Raw genomic sequence first — 18,852 nt, 5'->3', positions numbered from 1 at the left:
GACTATAGGTGCGCACTACCACACCCAGCTAATTTTTTTGTATTTTAGTAGAGACGGGGTTTCACCATGTTGGCCAGGCTGGTTTCGAACTCCTGACCTCAACTGATCCACCCGCCTCAGCCTCCCAAAGCGCTGGGATTACAGGCATGAGCCACCGCACCCAGCCTAGATATATTTTCAAGAAAGAATTCACAGAACTGGTATTAAGTTTTGTAGTGATGATCCTCAATATTCTTGTAGAAAGCCCCAAAGAAATACTGTGTGAATTCCAAGCCAGCATCCGCAGTGGTTATTCTTTTTTGAACTATTTTTTTTCTTCTTGAATTTGATTTTGGTTCATTGTCCTTTGGTGCCAATTTACTCCAGCATAAGTGAAACAGCCTCATAACCAGAGGGTTGAATTTCATAGTTCTACTCTGCTGTCTTTACTATAGGGTGGTTTAAGCTGTTATATTAAAACATTATTTTTTTCACAGTGGAGCAGACAAACTGACTCTCAAAAAGGCAGTTTCAATTTTCCACTTGGAAAGAGCAGAGCTAACATTTTCCACTGATGGTTGAAGGATTATTCACAACACACAAGGTTTTATCTCTGGGTTCCATTGGCTACTTTAAATTCATAAGTTGTTTTCTGGGATAACCAACATGTTTTTACAATAAGCCTGGCATAAAGACTTGCCTTTTGTATGTGGAGGACTAAAAATTACAATAAGGTCACCACTGAGTGGAACAAAGAATGCAGCTTTCTCAGACTTAAAGGCCCCTCTCCTTTTGGTGACAAATCCCTGTTATTAAAAAGAATATGGGGCCAGGCGCGCTGGCTCATACCTATAATCCCAGCACTTTGGGAGGCCAAGGAGGGTGGATCACCTGAGATCAGGAGCTTGAGACCAGCTTGACCAACATGGAAAAACCCCGTCACTACTTAAAATACAAAATTAGCTAGGCTTGGTGGTGGGTGCCTGTAATCACAGCTACTTGGGAGGCTAAGGCAGGAGAATAGCTTGAACCCAGGAAGCGGAGGTTGCAGTGAGCTGAGATCGCACCACTGCACTCCAGCCTGGGCGACAGAGCAAGACTCTGTCTCAAAAAAAAAAAAAAAAGAATATGGAAGGGCTGTGGCTTCTTCCATAAACTCTGACCTTACCAAACAGCTTAAAGCTCCCCATCATTCTGATTCACACACACAAAACTGTCCTAGAATACTGAATCCCAGGAATGTTCAAATGACTGATATACAGTAAAAATGATTATACAAGTTTGATTCTAGCAATCTAAGAATCTTAAGAGGTTACAACTAGTAAAGTAAAAAATACCAACTTGGAGGATGGTATATTCTGACAGGGCCTATGATAAGGTGATGACTTTCAAAGAGCTAATTTGACTCCTCAGGACAGAAAATAAATGCTTTACAATGCATGAAAGCAATGGAGGAGCAAGTAAAGTACATCTGAGTTTAAGTTCTGGTTTCATCACGTATAACCTGTGGAACCTTGGCTTCTCGAGGTCTTTGTTTGCTCTTCTGTAAAACAGGGATGATAATGCCTACCTCAGAGTTAATAATGTGAGGTTGCTTGAGAAAAGACTGTAAATTGTTATTCTTTTAAAGGGCTTTGCACAGGGCTTCACGTCCAATGAGAAATCAATTTCCAATTCAAAATGAAATACATTGATGCCTTCACTACATGGTGTAATGAACATAGCTCCAGGTCAAAGATTTGCTTCACATTGAAGTATAAGAAATAAGTATATATAAATCTTGTAAGTATAGATTTATAAGAAATCTAAAAACCTTCTTACATAATAATCCTTTCACCAGAAAAATATCGCACTTTACCCTAATAGGAAAAAAAAAAAAAAATACAGAAAGAAGAAAGAAAAAGGGAAAGTAAAAAGGTTTCAGTAAGAAAAGCCTTACCATCTGTTCATCCTCTTTGGCAGCCCAACTGGCACTGAACGTCTGACCGCCACTGTCTTTCATCAGGCGAATTTGAACATGCTGGAGATAGGCAGAGAATGCTATTCGGGCCTGCATTTTGCTATAGAAATCCAAAACAACATACCGTTATGTGACAGAAGTGTAAAACTACAAAATGTGTACTTGCTTCTCTCCAAGTGGCCTTTGAGGATGCTTCTATTATGATGGCTAAGAAATATGAAACCCATCTTACAGCCTGTGAATAAGGATTCCTTCTAAGCAGTACATGAAGGTTTTTCTTTTTAAATTTCCTATTAAAAGAATCAGAGATGGAGAATCCTATTTATTTTCTCATTATTAGCATAAGGGAAAAAAAGAAGAATAGAAAATTAGATTTCTTACTCCTTCTCTTTGAAATTTTTTTTTTGAGACAAGGTCTCATTCTGTCACCCAGGCTGCAGTGTAGTGGTGGAATCTCAGCTCACCGCAACCTCCATCCTGCTGGATTCACGTGATTCTTGTGCCTCAGCCACCCAACTAGCTGGACTTACAGGTGCACACCATCACACCCAGCTAATTTTTGTATTTTTAGTAGAGACGGGGTTTCACCATGTTGGCCAGGCTGGTCTCGAACTCCTGGCCTCAAGTGATCCGCCTGCCTTGGCCTCCCAAAGTGCTGGGATTACATATAGGCCTGAGTCACTGTGCTTGACCCTCTTTGAACTTTTTAACAACTTTCTTGGGGGAACAGACAGGAGAAGTACTCAATCTTCACAAAAACCACTGTATTAATGAGAAAATGTTTTTTACATTTGGAGGTCCATAAGAACTTATCAGTTAGTACAAAAGCAAAAGTGTGGATTTTGCAATGGCAATTAATATTTCTAGTATATAAAAGTGTCCAAAGCAGGAAATAGATAAATCCTATAAAGGGACTCTTAAGACCAAATTTAAGGCCACACTGTTCTCAACTACAAGATGGAATGGCTGGAGCCCAGAGCAAATGAGGGAGGTCCAACAGAGTTTGGCACAGATGAACTGATGGGCCAGGCAGGACAAGCCCAGATGTTCAGTGGGCGAAAGAAATCCTCAAGTCTTGTGAAAAGCACCTTAGCAACATCATTAAAGAACGCAGCTATTTTCTGCCTGGTGGCCTAGGCTGGAAATAAGGAAATCTGATCAAGCTATAGTTTGGAAGACAGAAGTACCAGAGAGACACTGATGATTTTCACCTCAGCTGCTGTTCATGGCAGATCTGTTTTCTTTCAGGCCAGATTTTGGTTACTTCAGCTGATCGGCCTTCTGATACTGTAGCCAAAATTATATCAGCGAAGATTAGGGCCCAACACAAACTTTGTTTACAATCCCCACAAATGCAATCACTGAATGCTTTCTACTGACTGTTTTCACAAGGTTAGGAGGTAGGATTTGGCTAAAGTAAGCTGCACATCTTAAGAGGGCTCCAGTCTAGCTTCCATGTGTATGTTGGAGAATTGGAGGGCAAGGGAGTCAGGCTGGGGAGAAGATTTGCTTTTGAGAGTTTAATACATAAGAGCTTCAGAACATGAACTAAGAATAAGGCTACATCTTTGTTACTAGCAGGGATGGTTTTTATGGGAGCATAATATGGTTTTGAAATAATACACTTATATTTTCTTTTTTTTTTTTTTTTTTTCGAGACAGAGTTTTGCTCTTGTCACCCAGGCTGGAGTGCAGTGGTGTGATCTTGGTTCACTGCAACCTCTGCCTCCCAGGTTCAAGCGATTCTCCTGCCTCAGCCTCCCAAGTAGCTAAGATTACAGGTGCTCACTACTATGCCCAGCTAATTTTTGTATTTTAATAGAGATAGAGTTTCACCATGTTGATCAGGTTGGTCTCAAACTCCTGACCTCAGGTGATCCACCCACCTCAGCCTCCCAAAGTGCTGGGATTACAGGCATGAGCCTGCACGCCTGGCCATAAATGTACATTTTCAACTGTTCCTCAAAGACAATAATTATACTCTTGTTTACCCAGAGAGCATATATCACTTTACCCTGAATCAATCCTATAAGCTTTGTCTCCACAACAAATTATTCTCAAGTCAAAATAAATTTAAAAGATCCTCAGTTTGGGTCAATAAATTCACCTACAATATAATGAGCAAGAAATAGCATGTTTCAGACACCTTCAAATGTAGCAGAATATCCAATTCCACGGATTCATCCCTTTATACTAAAACTTGAAGATCTTTTAAATAAGGGGATTATTGCTCATAAGTTGAGACTTCAATCATTGTTTTGTTGTGAATCACTGTTGCAAAGCAAATGAACAAATATTGAGGTTTCCATTTCCATAAACGTCACGAATGTTAATTCTGAGACTGTCTCTAAGGTATTGGACACATTGTTCAGCTAGTCACTTGCAACAAACCCCCCAAAAGATGAAAGAATAAAAACCAGAAAGAATAAAAACCAAAGAAACCTATTTTAAAAAACAAAAGGTTATGCAGATGCTCAGTATATAAGATATGCAACAATGACGCGATCCTTAGAGTTTTGAACCCTGGCTGTGCGTGGACTTTCCCCAAACCCCTAAGTAGCCTCTGAGACACTTCACCGAACAATGAGCAGCTTTAGGGAACACAGTCTGAAAACCACTGATTGACACTAACGCAGCCTGCAATTTTAACAGTTTACTCATTCAAAGCGAGAGCCACAAGATTCATGAAGAAATAATTTATTTCTACAACAACTAAGCAGAATGTTATTGCTGGAAAGGACCTTAGAATACAGTCCAGTGGTTTTCAAATGCTCTATTTTCAATTCAGTGAAATCTTCTTTCCCTCTAGGAAGAAGTTTGAAAAAACACTTGTCTAACTCCACATCTTGGATTGACAGAAAAGGAAACTGAGGCCTATAGAAGCTCTTTGACTTGTCTATGACCACACGGCCAGTTGGTAGCACTAAAACAGCCAGAGCTCAGGTCTTCTGACTGAGTTTAGCATATTCTATTCTCCACTGACAGAACTATTCTTATTCTCCATGACACTGTTCCAAACCTTAACTCTATCCCCTGCTACTCCAATGTCACCCTCCAGCCTTTCAGTATAAGAACTGGCCTCTAATTTAGAAATAAAGACTATCATGCATAAACGGCTAAACTTCCTTGCTCTTAAACTTCTGTCAACTTCATTCATCCCATAGCACTTTCTTTCTGACTGATAGGAAGAGATACTCCCTCCTCTGGCCTCTTCCCACCTTCCTTTAGTACTCTTCTCTACCAATATGTCCATTTCTGCATTTCTAATCCTCTTATCCTCAAATCCTTCCCCTTAGTCTATAAACAACCTCCAGAACCTCTTCTCAAAAGAAAAAAAAAAAATCCGTTTCTTTTAGCTGGCTGTCTCCCTGATGCATTCTTACCTTCCTTTCATTGCCAAACCCTTAGACAGTTAGTTCACACTTGCTTTCTTATTTTCTCCACTCACAACTGGTCTTCCACCTACTCAGTTGGCCCTAGGTCACAAATCCAGAAGTCTCTTTTCACTATTCATCCTAACTAGGGCTGTTTGAGGCTCTACAGACCTGAAATGCTCATTCTGCAGCTTTTACCATACTACTCCTTCCTGATCTTATGTCTATTGCTCTAACTGCTACATCTTGACCTTTTTACTGACTTACCCATTGAACAGTGGTATTCCCCAGGGCTCAATTCTTTTTTTATCCTTGCTGAACCAAATAAATTTGTGAACAATCTTATCCATTCGCAAGACTTTACCTACCAACTATACAATCCTGTTCAACCTTGATCAACAAAGCTGTCCACCTGTCTATTGGACTTTAGCCCAGAACCCTTCTTCCTTACTACATCTTAAATCAAACTCATTGTTTTTAACATGAAACCAACTCCTATGTTCCTTATATTGACCAAAGGCACCACCAAGTTTCCAAATGTGAAAAACTTAGTCTCATCAATTTTACTTTGCAAATTTTACTAAGTCCATCCCATTCTCTCCACTCCTAAAGCCATTACTCTGATCAAGGCCTTCATCTTCCTGGCTCTGGACAATTCTAACAGTCCCTAACTCACCCCCCTGCCTTTAGTTTCACTATCCCACAATGCAAGCACGATTTACTTTCTAAAACAAGATCTCACCGTATCATTTATCTGCTTAAAAGTCATCTAGAAAATAAAGCTTAGGCTCCTCTTACGGCCCTTCACAATCTAACAACATCCAATTTTTTAGTCTCATTTCTTACCATGCTCTTCTCCTTATATAATTCCTCTAGTCTGTATTTTGTAAACACACCAAGCTCATTACGATGTCTGGGCTTTTGTACTTGCTATTCTGCTGGGAGTATTCTGCCTCCTACTATTCACACGACTGACTCCTCATCATTCAGGACTTACCTCAAAGGTTACCTCTTCATGCCAGATCACTGCAATTAAGTAACTCTGCCCAATTACATTCTAACATTACACCATCTTATTGTCCTGACAGCATTTCTCACGACCTGAAATGACCTTGTTTCTTTGTTAACTGTCATTCTTCCCCACTAGACTGTAAACTCCAGGCCTATCTTGGTCCCCACAGTAATGTGATATGGCCTAGCACAACTGGCATAGGGCAGGTGCTCAATAAAAACTCACTGAGGGACTTAATGAATGACTGTATTATCACACCTCTATGTCTTTTTTTTTTTTTTTTTAAGATGGAGTTTCACTCTTGTTGCCCAGGCTGGAGTGCAATGGCACAATCTTGGCTCACTGCAAACTCCACCTTCCAGGTTCAAGCAATTCTCCTGCTTCATCCTCCCGAGTAGCTGGGCTTACAGGCATGCACCACCACACCCAGCTAATTTTGTATTTTTAGTAGAGACAGGGTTTCTCCATGTTGGTCAGGCTGGTCTCGAACTCCTGACCTTAGGTGATCCGACCACCTCGGCCTCCCAAAGTGCTGCAATTATAGGTGTGAGACACTGAGCTTGGCCACCTCTACGTCTTTATTGCCTCTACCTAGCACTCCCACATTTAACCATCACTTCCCAAAGCTCCTGAAACCCTACTCATCTGTCAAGGCCTGATTCAAATTTTCCCTCATCCATAATGCCTTTCTAGCCCTCCCAAGCCAGACCAATCACTCTTTTTCTGTGTCCTAAGACCACTTTGTTCATAGTGGGGCCATGGCCTGAGCTCTCTGTCTCTGATACTAAACGACGAGCTGCTTGAGCTCCTTGTCCCAGTTACCTTATACTCAGTGACTGACACAAATGCCCAACCAATGAGACCCGGGTTTGTATCATAGCTCTACCTTAGACAAGTTACCTAACCTCTCTAAGGCTCAGTTTCCTTAATAATAACAGTATCTAATCACAGTCATTATTTCATAGGACTTCTGTAAATATTAAATGAAAAATGACTGTAAAACCACTAAAATAGTAGCTGGTACACAGTACAAGTTAGCTGTTATCAGTTTTACTAATATAATTATAAAAGATACATACCTAAGATTGCCATTATCTTGAAGAATCTGCATCAGGTTAAATTTAGGCTCTAGCTCCTGAGTCTCAAGTTTGCAGCAGTGTCCACCTTTATTATTCCATTCACGAACTTTCATGGAATTTTCTTTGGGTGTATTTTCTACCAAAGCTGTCAATGAGGGTGTATATTTGGCTTGATTTTCTCTAAGAAATCCTGCAGACTCCTCCTGGGAAGCCTCCTGTTCTTCATCTTCATTATCTAATGCGACTTCTTCCTCCTCTTCACTCTCTGTCTCAGTTTTAACATTCATTTCAGCTGGTTGGGTAATCACTAAATACGAAGAATCACTAATGTTGCTGAAAAAAGGATTAAATGTTCCTCTCTCCCAATACCTTCCTTTTCTCTTTTTAGTAAAAGCCCATTTCTAAACCAAACCACAAACAAGGCACAGAATTAATAGCACCCACATGTCACTCTCTAATCTCATATATTCTTTTATTTATTTTTGTTTTCATTTATTATCATTTTTTGATTCAGGGTCTCGCTCTGTTGCCCAGGCTGGAGGGCAGTGGCAGGATCTCGGCTCATTACAGCTCGACATCCTGGGGTCAAGTAGTCCTCCAACCTCAGCCTTCCAAGTAGCTGGGACTATAGGCACATGTTACCATACCCAGCTAATTTTTGTATTTTTTGTAGAGACAGGATTTTGCCAGATTGCCTGGGCTGGTCTCGAACTCCTGGGCTCAAGCGATTCGCCCACCTTGGCCTCCTAAAGTGCTGGGATTACAGGCATGAGGCACCATGCCTGGCCTAATGTTACATATTCTAAAACCTATTAATAATCTTCATTAAAGTATACATTTTTCATCATACTCTCATCATCACTCTCTCACAACTTAAGGCAAAAAATAAAAATAAAAAAACAAAAAACCCTTGGCTTAGTAATTTCTACAGTGTATTAGAGATTTTTTAAAAAGCACCCTTCACGGAGGTATAAAGAACAGGGGAATATCTTTCTATCCTATGTTTATTCATTATCCTTCTCTATCGCCTTGTAAGTTCTATGAGGACAGAGACCATATCTTTTTTATTTACCAGCAAAACCTCAGTGACTAACACACTGCCTGACACAGACGTTCACAGGAGGGAAGGAGAGAAAAAAAGGAAATCAGTATATCAGTCAATTATAAACAGACCTACAACATTGTAGAAGCTAGGAGAGAAAGAAATTCCACTTTATCTAAAATACTTATGCCATTCAGCAATGTTAAAGAATGAACTGAACTTACCTAATTATAAAAAACCTGAACAGTAATGCTCAGGATTCCATTAAACTCAGGCTAATATTATTTCTAGAGTATCAGGTATTTGTATGATGCTGACATAAGAGCAAAGGCCAAAATGTATGTGTTTCAGATAGTCTTCAATACAAATATTATAGAGTGGAAGGTTTAAAAACTTAAGACTTTGTTGAAATTAAGTTTCAGAGAAAAAACTATATAAAAAAGGTGTATGTGATCAGGAAGATTCTGACTCATGAAATACTGAGTAAGCAGCTGGTTAACTCAGTCTGGCAGGATCCAGATAAGGGAGTTTGGTGAAAGCTCACCAGCAGGTACCTGGGTATTTTGGCCTCATTGCCCTCAATCTGCTACTCCGTCGTCTACGTTTTCGCACCTCCAGAGACAGGAGCTTCCTCTCGTAAAGTGCAGCATGCAGCTTGGCCTTTGAATTCAGACTCTCTATCTTCAATTCTGGCGCTCCATCAGCAGTCATTCTAGGGGAAAAGCAACATGGTAGCTATGGCCTTCAGAAAGTTCTCTCCTTCATTCCAAGGCTAAGCTTCCCAGAATTCCATAATGCTGACATACTGGACATGGTAACTCAAGTGAATTCTAAAAGTTTGACAGATAAAGAGGAACACTAGAATCTACGTTAAAACCTCACTAGTGACCCATTTGAATTTATTAAATGTTCTAAAAAAATATGCAGCTAAAGACAATGTTTAAGACCTTTAAGTGTTCAGTGATACTGATTATTACTTTACTGCAGGGATTATAAAGTGCCACCCAACACCTTATACCTTAAAATACTTTATACCTTAAAAACGACAATATCTTAATTCTTAAGTTGAGTGGTGGCAAATGGTGTTTGTTTCATTTCTACCCATTATAACTTACTCAGCATTTTATAAATATTCTTTTGAATGTATATAAAATCTAAACAATATGGATTTAGCAGAGGTTCAGATGAGGGGAACAAAGGCTGATGATCTGTGAATACGTGAGGGAGCACCGAGTTGACTGAGACGCATAGAAGTGTCTTAGTGAAAAGTCACCAAGCCCTAGGGACTCACCAAGTCTCAAGCATCCCAACATGAGGAAATGCCAAGGCACCCACCCTCCTTTAAGATCCTGATTATATACAGGAGAAGGTGGAGCAAGGTGGCAGGGACTTTACAGGCGTTAAGTACAGGTCTGGAGTTACAGTCAGAGGCACAGACAAGGGAAGGCAGCAGAGATAGGACAAGGCTAAATACATCAAGTCAAGAATGAGAAATGGGATGTGGAAAGGGGGCTGGCACCAGCTACATTAGGCATTAAAGTAACACAAATCACAAATCAGGCAGTGACTGATATGAGGCCCAGTCTAGACAAGGACTGAGCAAAATACAAGAGAGGCAGCCATAACCAAGTCACCAAAGAGAGGGCTCTGGGTCACCAGGTCAGAAAAGCAGTATCTATATCAGTGACTGAAAGCATGTAGCCAACTCTCTACGCTCAAACGCAATATCTAATTGGTTGGCTCTGAACTCTCTAGAACTCAAAGTGTGTTCCCTTTGAGGTCAAGAAATCATCCTAACTCCTCTGGGAGTTTTCAGTCTCTGAGTATAATAAAAAGGCTGTGTCATTTGGTCTATTTAGGACCTTTCTGATAGGGATTTCTGGGTGGATGGAATGGATGGTAAGTCTTTTGGAGGCCTTCTCTCCAGAGTAAGACAAAGAGCCAAAAACAGGAAGGTCCTGGCACTGGGAGCAGAAATGGGAAGCAAATCAATGAACTTTAAAAATGGTTCCAATGTATTTTATCAGAGTCCCAAAGAGTACACACACACACACACACACACACACACACAGAGAGAGAGCTATAGAAATAAACTTTTAGCCAATTCAATAATAAAGAAAATAAAACAAATCTGATAGAAAGATAAAATCATTTAAACCATTTATTCAATAATGTCTGGCTAACTTGGTCAATTTTGTATTTTTTTTTAAACTTGGTCAAATTTGATAACTATATGGACAAACATGGGCATAGCTTAACACCGACATCATTATCTCATAAACACACAAACTCTCTCTCCAATGACGTGTCTCTTAAAAACTTAATGTGATTGGAGACAATCTAATGTTTGAGATCATCCTAATTAAATGAGTGGAAGTTAATTCAACACCCTAATAAGTTAAAGCCCAGTGTTTACGTTCACGAACCACTGTTCATTATATAAACAAGAGTTTATATTGTCTACATTATACCGTCTACATTGTCAAGAACTCCATTCTTTAGGAAAAAAAGATTTCTTTTTATCAACAAAAACTCAAAAAATAAACTTCTGAAAACATGAACGCTAAAAGCTCACAGATATGGAGAAGCTACTACAAATCTCTTTCTCTAAAGATATTTTAAAATAACAACTAAGAACCAAGAGACCCTGGATAAACAGATAAATCCTAAATAGTACAAGGGATAGAGGATAGGGAATGCTGGGTAAAATATGAATCTGATAAGCCAGAATAATAGTTCTATGAGGGCAAGGACCATGTTTGTCTTGTATCACTGTATCCTAGATGCTTATGAGACTGTCCAGCACACAGCTGACTTGCCATAAATATTGGTTAATTAACAAACAATTGAATTTCCTAAAAATAAGTTGGATATCTTTTAGCTACATCTTTTTCATTTACTTTTTCCAACTATTTATTTATTTATTTATTTTGAGACGGAGTCTTGCTCTGTCACCCAGGCTGGAGTGCAGTGGCGCCATCTCGATTCACTGCAACCTCTGCCTCCTGGGTTCAAGCAATTCTCCTGCCTCAGCCTCCCAGGTAGCTGAGACTACAGGCATGTGCCACCACGCCTGGCTAATTTTTTGTATTTTTAGTAGAGATGGGGTTTCACCGTATTAGCCAGGATGGTCTCAATCTCCTGACCTCGTGATCCACCCGCCTCGGCCTCCCAAAGTGCTGGGATTACAGGTGTGAGCCACCACGCCCAGCCCCCAACATTTTTTTTTTAAATATTTAAACAAAAGTTTAAAGAATTGTACAGTGAACAACCATATACCTACTTACCACCTAGTTTCTACAATTAACATTTTACTATATTTTGTTTCGTCACGTATATATCCAATCATATATCCTTCATCCATCAGTCTATCTAATTTTTAAAGCAATTCAAAGTTAGAGACATCAGTACATTTTGCTCATAAACATTTCAACATGCATATCATTACTATCTAGAGTTCAATAATTGTTTTATAGAACTGTGTTGGGTAAGCTAAAAGTTACATACAGTGACATATCCAAATATTAAATGTCCACTTAATGCGTTCTGACAAATGCCTAGAGCTATATAACCTAAACTCTTAATATTAGTATCAACTCAGAAGTTCTCATGCCCCTTCCCACTCCTATCCAGTCAATCCTTCCCTAACGTCCTAAAGGCAATCACTGTTGTAAATTTTTCATCATGTATTACTTTTGCCTGTTCCAGAATTTCATAAAAATGAAACCATACAGTATGAACTGTTTTGTATAAGGCTTCTTTCACTCAGCATGCTTTTGAGATTCACTCTTGTGTGTGTCAGTATTCATCCCATTTTATTTCTGAGCAGTAGGTCACTGTCTGAATAACCCACAGTTATCTGCTCTGTTGTTGGACACTTAGGTTGTTTCCTGTTTTGGAGCATTATGAATAAAGCTACTATGAACCTATTTGTACAAGCTGTTTTGTGATTATGTTTATTTCTTCTGTGTAGATCTCAAAGTGAAATTTGTATATTTCTAACAAACTGCCAGTCTCTTCCTAAAGTGCTTGTACCAGTTTACACTGTCAACGACAATTTATCACAGTTCTGTTAGTTCCACATCCTTACCACCATTTAGTATTGTCAGTATAATATCTGCCATTCTGCTAGATGTTCAGTGGTATAACGTGGTTTTACTTTGTAATTCCCTGATAACTAATGTTGTTAAGCACATTTTCATAAGCATATTGGCTACTCATATATCTTCCTTTTGAAGTGTCTGTTCAAATATTTTATCCTTTTGTAATTGGGTTGATGGTCTTTTTATTATTGAGTTGTAGGAGTTCTTGATAGTTCCTAGATATCAATCCTTTGACAGATATGTTTGATGCATATTTCCACTCAGTCAGTGGCTTGCCAAATCATTTTCCTAACAGTATCTTATAATGAAGTTTTTAATCTTGAGAAAATATAACATTATTTGTTTTTTATTGCTTTCTGTGTCATGTCTAAAAACACTGCCAAGCCCAAAGTCACAAAGATATTATGTTTTCTTCAATAAGTTTTATAGTAATCATTTTTGTATCTATGAATCATCTCTAATTTCTATGGGAAACAGCGGTTGGGGTTCATTTTTAAAAATACGATATTCAGTTGTTCCATCCTCATTTTTAAAAAATAATTTCCTTTCACCATTGGATTACTTTGACCATATAAATGTGGGTCTATTTCTGGGCTTCCTATTCTGTTTCAATGTGATCAGTTTGCCAATATCTTGAATACTGTAGAATTACAGTATTTAGGTCAAGTACGTTAAGTCTTTTTCAAGATTACTTTGGATATTCTGAGTCCTTTGTATTTGAATATAAATTTTTAAATGTTGGTCTGTTCCTTTTAAAAAAATCTACCAGAATAATGATTGAAATTGCACTGGATCTTTATATCAATTTGAGGAAAATGGCTATTTTAACTATATGAATTCTTCTAATCAACAAATATGGCATATCTCTCCATTTATTTAGGTCTTCTTTAATTTCTTTCAGTAATATTTAATAGTTTTTACTGTATAGGTATTGAACATGTTTTGTTAAATTTATTCCTAAGTATTTCATATTTTCAAATGCTGTTGTAAATATAATTTAAAATTTCATTTTCCAATTATTTACTACTAGTACATTAAGATACAATCGATTTTAGTATGTCGATCTTGTATCCTAAGACCTTGCTAAGTTCACTTCTGTGTTCTTGTAGTTACAGATGCCTTAGGATTTTCTACTAACCTGATCGTGTCATCCAAAAATAGACATTTTACTTCCTCCTTTCCAATCTGTGTGCATTTCTTTTTTCACTGCCTTGCTTTACTATACTAATGTACAACGTGAATAAAAGTGGTATGAGTGGACATCTTGCCCTATTACAAATCATATGGAAAAAGCCTTCAATATTTTACTGAATATGATGATAGCAAGAGGTTTTTCATATAAGGCCTTTATCAATGAAGTTTCCTTCTATTTCTGATTTGCTGAGTTTTTCTCATAAATATGTGCTGAATTTCATCAGTTGCTTTTTTGGGATATCTAATGAAATGATAATCTAGTTTTTCCCCTGTAATTAATATGGTGAATTTCAATGACTAATTTTCAAATGTTAAGCCAACCTTGCAATACTGGGGAAAATCTCAGTCATATGTATTATCCTTTTTATAATGGCAGATTAGATTTGCTAGTATTAAGAAATTTTGTGTCTATGTTCATGAAGGATATTAGCCTGTAATTTTCTCTTCTTCTTCTATTTTAATGTCTTTGTCAGGTTTTGGAATCATAGTCATGCTGGCATCGTAAGATGAACTGGGAAGTGTCCCTTCCTATATTCTTAAAAGAATCTGTATAAGATTGGTGTTATTATTCCTCAAATGCTTGACAGAATTCAATAGTGAAACCAGTGAGCCTGGAGTTTTCTCTATAGGAAAGTTTTTCAGGACAATTTCAATTTTCTCAACAGATACAGGGCTTTTCAAAATTTCTACTTCAGCTGGTATCAGTTTGGGTGTTGCCCCCAACTTTCCCACCACCACAAAGAATTGTCATTTCAACTAAGCTGTCAAAGTAATGGAATAAAGTTGCTAATAATATTGCCTTAATATCCTTTTTCCGCACCTTAGCATCCACTTTATGTCTGTTGAATCTATAGTGAAATCCTCTCTTTTCTATCTGATGATATTGGTAATTAGTGTCCTTTCTCTTTATTCTAGATCAGTCTACCTAAGGGTTTATCAATTATGCTACCTTATCAATGAACACACTTTGGATTTTGTTAACATTCTTTACTGTTTGTTTTTTATTTGATTTCTGCCTTTCCTTTCTTCCACTTACTTTGGAGTTACTCTACTTTTTTCAGTTTCTTAAAACAAACATTAGAACAGTGATCTCAGTCCTCAATTTTCCAAGGTAAGCATTTAAACTTATAATTTCCCCCAAAGCACTACTTTAGCTGTAGCGTACATATCTTGACATATTTTTAGTATCATTCAGTTCAAAGTATTTTCTAATTTTCCTCATGATTTCTTCTTTTACCCATGGATTATTTAGAAATGTTTAATTCCCAAATATGTGAAGATTTTCTATTGTTATTGATATTCAATTCTACTGGGGCCAAAGAACATACTCTGTATCATTTTAATCCTTTTAAATATATTAGGACTTGTTTCATGCTCCAGCATATGGTCTATCATATGCCAGCTTGCATCTGCTTACACCTCTACAGGGCCCAAAATCCCTATTGATGGCAATATAAAATGAGTGCCAAAAAATGAACAACAGAACTCAGTGCTCTTCATTTATTCTTAATGTTTAAGATTTTTTTCTTTTTTCTCAATTTCCAAGTTAACAGCAGTATGTTATAGGAAGCATATTTCTTGACTCAAAACTGGAGAAAACTTATACACCAAGTGTGACTTTCTATTTGGAAACAAGCTACAAACTTGATTTATCTCAGTTTTCCCTTAACTAAATGGCAATCATAATGTATTCCTTCTTTAAAGAAAAATTAGATTTATGCTTTAAAGGGCTCTCTGCCTAAATGAAAGTCCACAGGTGTTTTGTATACTTTCAGTTCTGTGGCAAACTAGAAACAGGTTCTCTTCTGTACCATGAGGCACAGAGCTGTGTGCCTCAGGTATGTCAAGGCCAAAACACAAACTCTGTACTTGAATCTAACATGACAGTAGTTTCAAAATCTCATTAATACTCTCTCTCACACAGCTAAACGAGAATACCATCTTCAGTTAGAATAGTATACCTGTAGTTATAGTGAAGTAAATCTCAAACTTAGCTTGTAAAAAGTGGCGACAAAACACTTTTTCAATAGAAAAAATTTTTATGTTACTATTCAAGCTGAACCAAACTAAAAATGGTTATATAAGGTATTATGCTTAGTCTGTGCATGGTCACACATTATGCACATGGAAAGCATTTCTCAACTTTTAAAAGTCAATTACCGTGTTCTTCCTGTCAATAAGCTTCTTCTTGGGTTTCCCCTACAGAAGCAGAAAGGACAACCGGGTTAGAGAATGCTATTCAGGTAGTCTCTCTTAAGTTCACACACACATGCACTCCAGAAATTTTTAATACAGAAATTCAACATGACATTAGGCCAAGGAGGGCATCTTTGCAGAAAAGCAGACAGATAAATTGAGAACATTCTCATAAAAGAGTAGAGTGCTGTGAGCTGGAGGGACATCAATAAAAAACAAAAAAGGACAAATTATAGAGAAAAATTATAATAATTATTTGTACTTGCTTATCTATTTACAAAGCAAACTGCTTATTCATCACAACCACCATGTGAAGAAGGTTGTTAATTCGCTCCATTTATAGAAAGGAGCAGGATAAAATAATTTTTTGACCTGCCATGGCCGGAGCTTAAAGGGCTTACATCTGAGCCTCTGGCTTAGGTCTCAAACTGTAGTGCTCTTTCTACTTTCACTGAACTGTTTTAGGAAAAGAAACCAAGCTCAATTCTCATGGGGTTCAAAAGGGATGCTCATCAGAAATATATTTTCCACAATTAAAAAAAAATCTCTATTAAAAGGACGGGCGCATTGGCTCACAGCTGTAATCCTAGCACTTTGGCTGGCCGAAGCAGGGGGATTGCCTGAGCTCAGGAGGTCAAGACCAGCCTGGGCAATACGGTGAAACCCTGTCTCTACTAAAATACAGAAAATCAGCCAGGCGTGGTGGCGTGCACCTGTAATCCCAGCTACTTGGGAGGCTGAGGCAGGAGAATTGCTTGAACCTGGGAGGCGGAGGTTGCAGTGAGCCAAGATCATGCCACTGCACTCCACTCTGGGCAACAGAGCGAGACTCCTCTCAAAAAAAACAAAACAACAACAACAACAACAACAAAACCTCTATTGAAAAAAGATACTCTCCATTGTCTCTAAACTAAGACTGGGCTCTAACCACAGAAATTGAGTGCTATTCATGTTAAAATAGGCTTTTGTTTTTCTTTTAAAACACTCTCATTCAATTTCCTTTCATTTAACACTCTTAAAAAATTTCTGGCTAGGCAGTGGCTCATGCCTGTAATTCTAGCACTTTGGGAGGTCGAGGTAGGTGGATTACTTGAGGCCAAGAGTTCGCGATCAGCTTGGCCAACATGGCGAAACCCATCTCTACTACAAAATACAAAAATTAGCCAGGTGTGGTGTCATGGGCCCATAATCCCAGCTGCTCGGGAGGCTGAGGCAGGAGAATCACTTGAACCCAGAAGGAGGAGGTTGCAGTGAGCCGAGATTGCGCCACTGCACTCCAGCCTGGGCAACAGAGTGAGACACTGTCTCAAAAAAAAAAAAAAGTCCCCAGTTTTACTTGTACTCATTTATGTACGTGTGTATTTAATTCAGTACATTTTTACTGCCTGTGTAGGTTCATGTATCCACCACAGAAAAGATACTCAATGATTATATCACCATGAAGATCCCCTATGTTGCCCTTTTATAACTACCCATACCTCTTAAACCCTGCCTCATTAATCTGTTCTCCATTCTAAAATTGTCACTTCAAAAATATTATATAGAGTCACATAACATGTTTTGATTTTTTTTTGTAAAGAGACAAATGCAATGTAGATGATATGCAAAGAAAAATCCAGTGAAAAGGTAAGTCTTCACCAAGATGTTTTGTCTTTCCTTTCCCATGTTTTCTATCCATGTTAATGTCCTGATATTGTCAGGTAATCATCAGAAAGTCTCAAAATGATTTTAAGTTTTTCACCCAGATAATGGTTTTCTCCAGTAATTTGCAATCATGACTTTACATTATAATTACCTGGGCAGCTTTTAGTAAGTACCAATACTTCACTCTGGGTGGGGGTGGGGGGCGGTGGGGGGGTGGCCAGGACATAAGCCAGGGTTAAAGCAACTGCCATAGTATAAGACAGTATGTAAGATACTGTTTGCCAGAACAGAGTGGGTAGGTCGGGGAGGAGTCAAGAAGGTAAGGAAGGTAGTCAAAATTAACCTAAAAGAAATGAGTAGAGAATTAGTTTGAAAATGGTCCTAATAATAACAAAATTAATTGGATCTGCAAGAAGGAAAATATCAATTTAGACTGATGAGAGAACAGATTTATTGGAAGATACTAGGACTTGCTACAAACACAATCTCATTTTTTTCAATGCATGTTTCCGTGTGTGTGCCTACCATGTGGTAGGTTCTTGATACTGACAAAGATGAACATAACAAAGTATCTACTCTTAAGAGCCAACCTGGAAAGCACAAATTAGTAAACAGGCAATTATACAATCTGGGAATCTAAATTAGACTGAGGGATAAAAGAAGGGCTGGGAGTACCTCTTTCTAATCTAGGATAGAGGAGGAAGGACAAAGCTAGAAGAATTTAGGGATGGATTGAAGGCCATTCCAAAAGAAGGGGAGTTTGTAAGAATATGGATGTATAAAAGAGCAAGTAGAAATGGCCATCAGTTGGTGTGAAAAAGTGACAATTAGGCTAAAAAGGTAAGCATGGGTAGACCATGAGGGTTTTTCTTAGCTAAACAGGGAAAATTATTATTATTATTATTATTATTATTATTATTTTTGGAGACAGAGTTTTGCTCTGGTTGCCCAGGCTGGAATGCAATGGTGCGATCTTAGCTCAGAGCAACCTCCACCTCCCAGGTTCAAGCGATTCTCCTGCCTCAGCCTTCCCAAGTAGCTGGGATTATAGGCATGCGCCACCAAGCCTGGCTAATTTTGTATTTTTAGTAGAGATGGGGTTTCTCCATGTGGGTCAGGCTGGTCTCGAACTCCCGACCTCAGGTGATCTGCCCACCTCAGCCTCCCAAAGTGCTGGGATTACAGGCGTGAGCCACCGCGCCTGGCCAAATTATGTTTTTTTTAATCAAAGTTTTTAGAATGCTTCATAAGCAGGAGCTGTTAACTGGG

General features: G+C 38.3%; 1 protein-coding gene across 1 annotated transcript in view; it reads right to left on the bottom strand.

The window, feature by feature from the left end:
* The window catches only part of TTLL5 (tubulin tyrosine ligase like 5), a 293,834-nt gene that overhangs the window by 181,307 nt on the left and 93,675 nt on the right, over positions 1-18,852 (bottom strand). The window contains exons 19-21 of the mRNA NM_015072.5: positions 9,001-9,158; positions 7,405-7,711; positions 1,919-2,039 (exon numbers count right to left, since the gene is read on the bottom strand). Coding sequence (NP_055887.3) covers positions 1,919-2,039; positions 7,405-7,711; positions 9,001-9,158 — 586 coding nt within the window. The remainder of the gene's footprint in view (positions 1-1,918; positions 2,040-7,404; positions 7,712-9,000; positions 9,159-18,852) is intronic.

The sequence above is a fragment of the Homo sapiens genome, chromosome 14, assembly GCF_000001405.40.
Source record: "Homo sapiens chromosome 14, GRCh38.p14 Primary Assembly".
Taxonomy (NCBI): domain Eukaryota; kingdom Metazoa; phylum Chordata; class Mammalia; order Primates; family Hominidae; genus Homo; species Homo sapiens.
The sequence above is the reverse complement of the archived record's forward strand: the minus strand, read 5'-3'. Positions and strand labels throughout refer to the sequence as shown.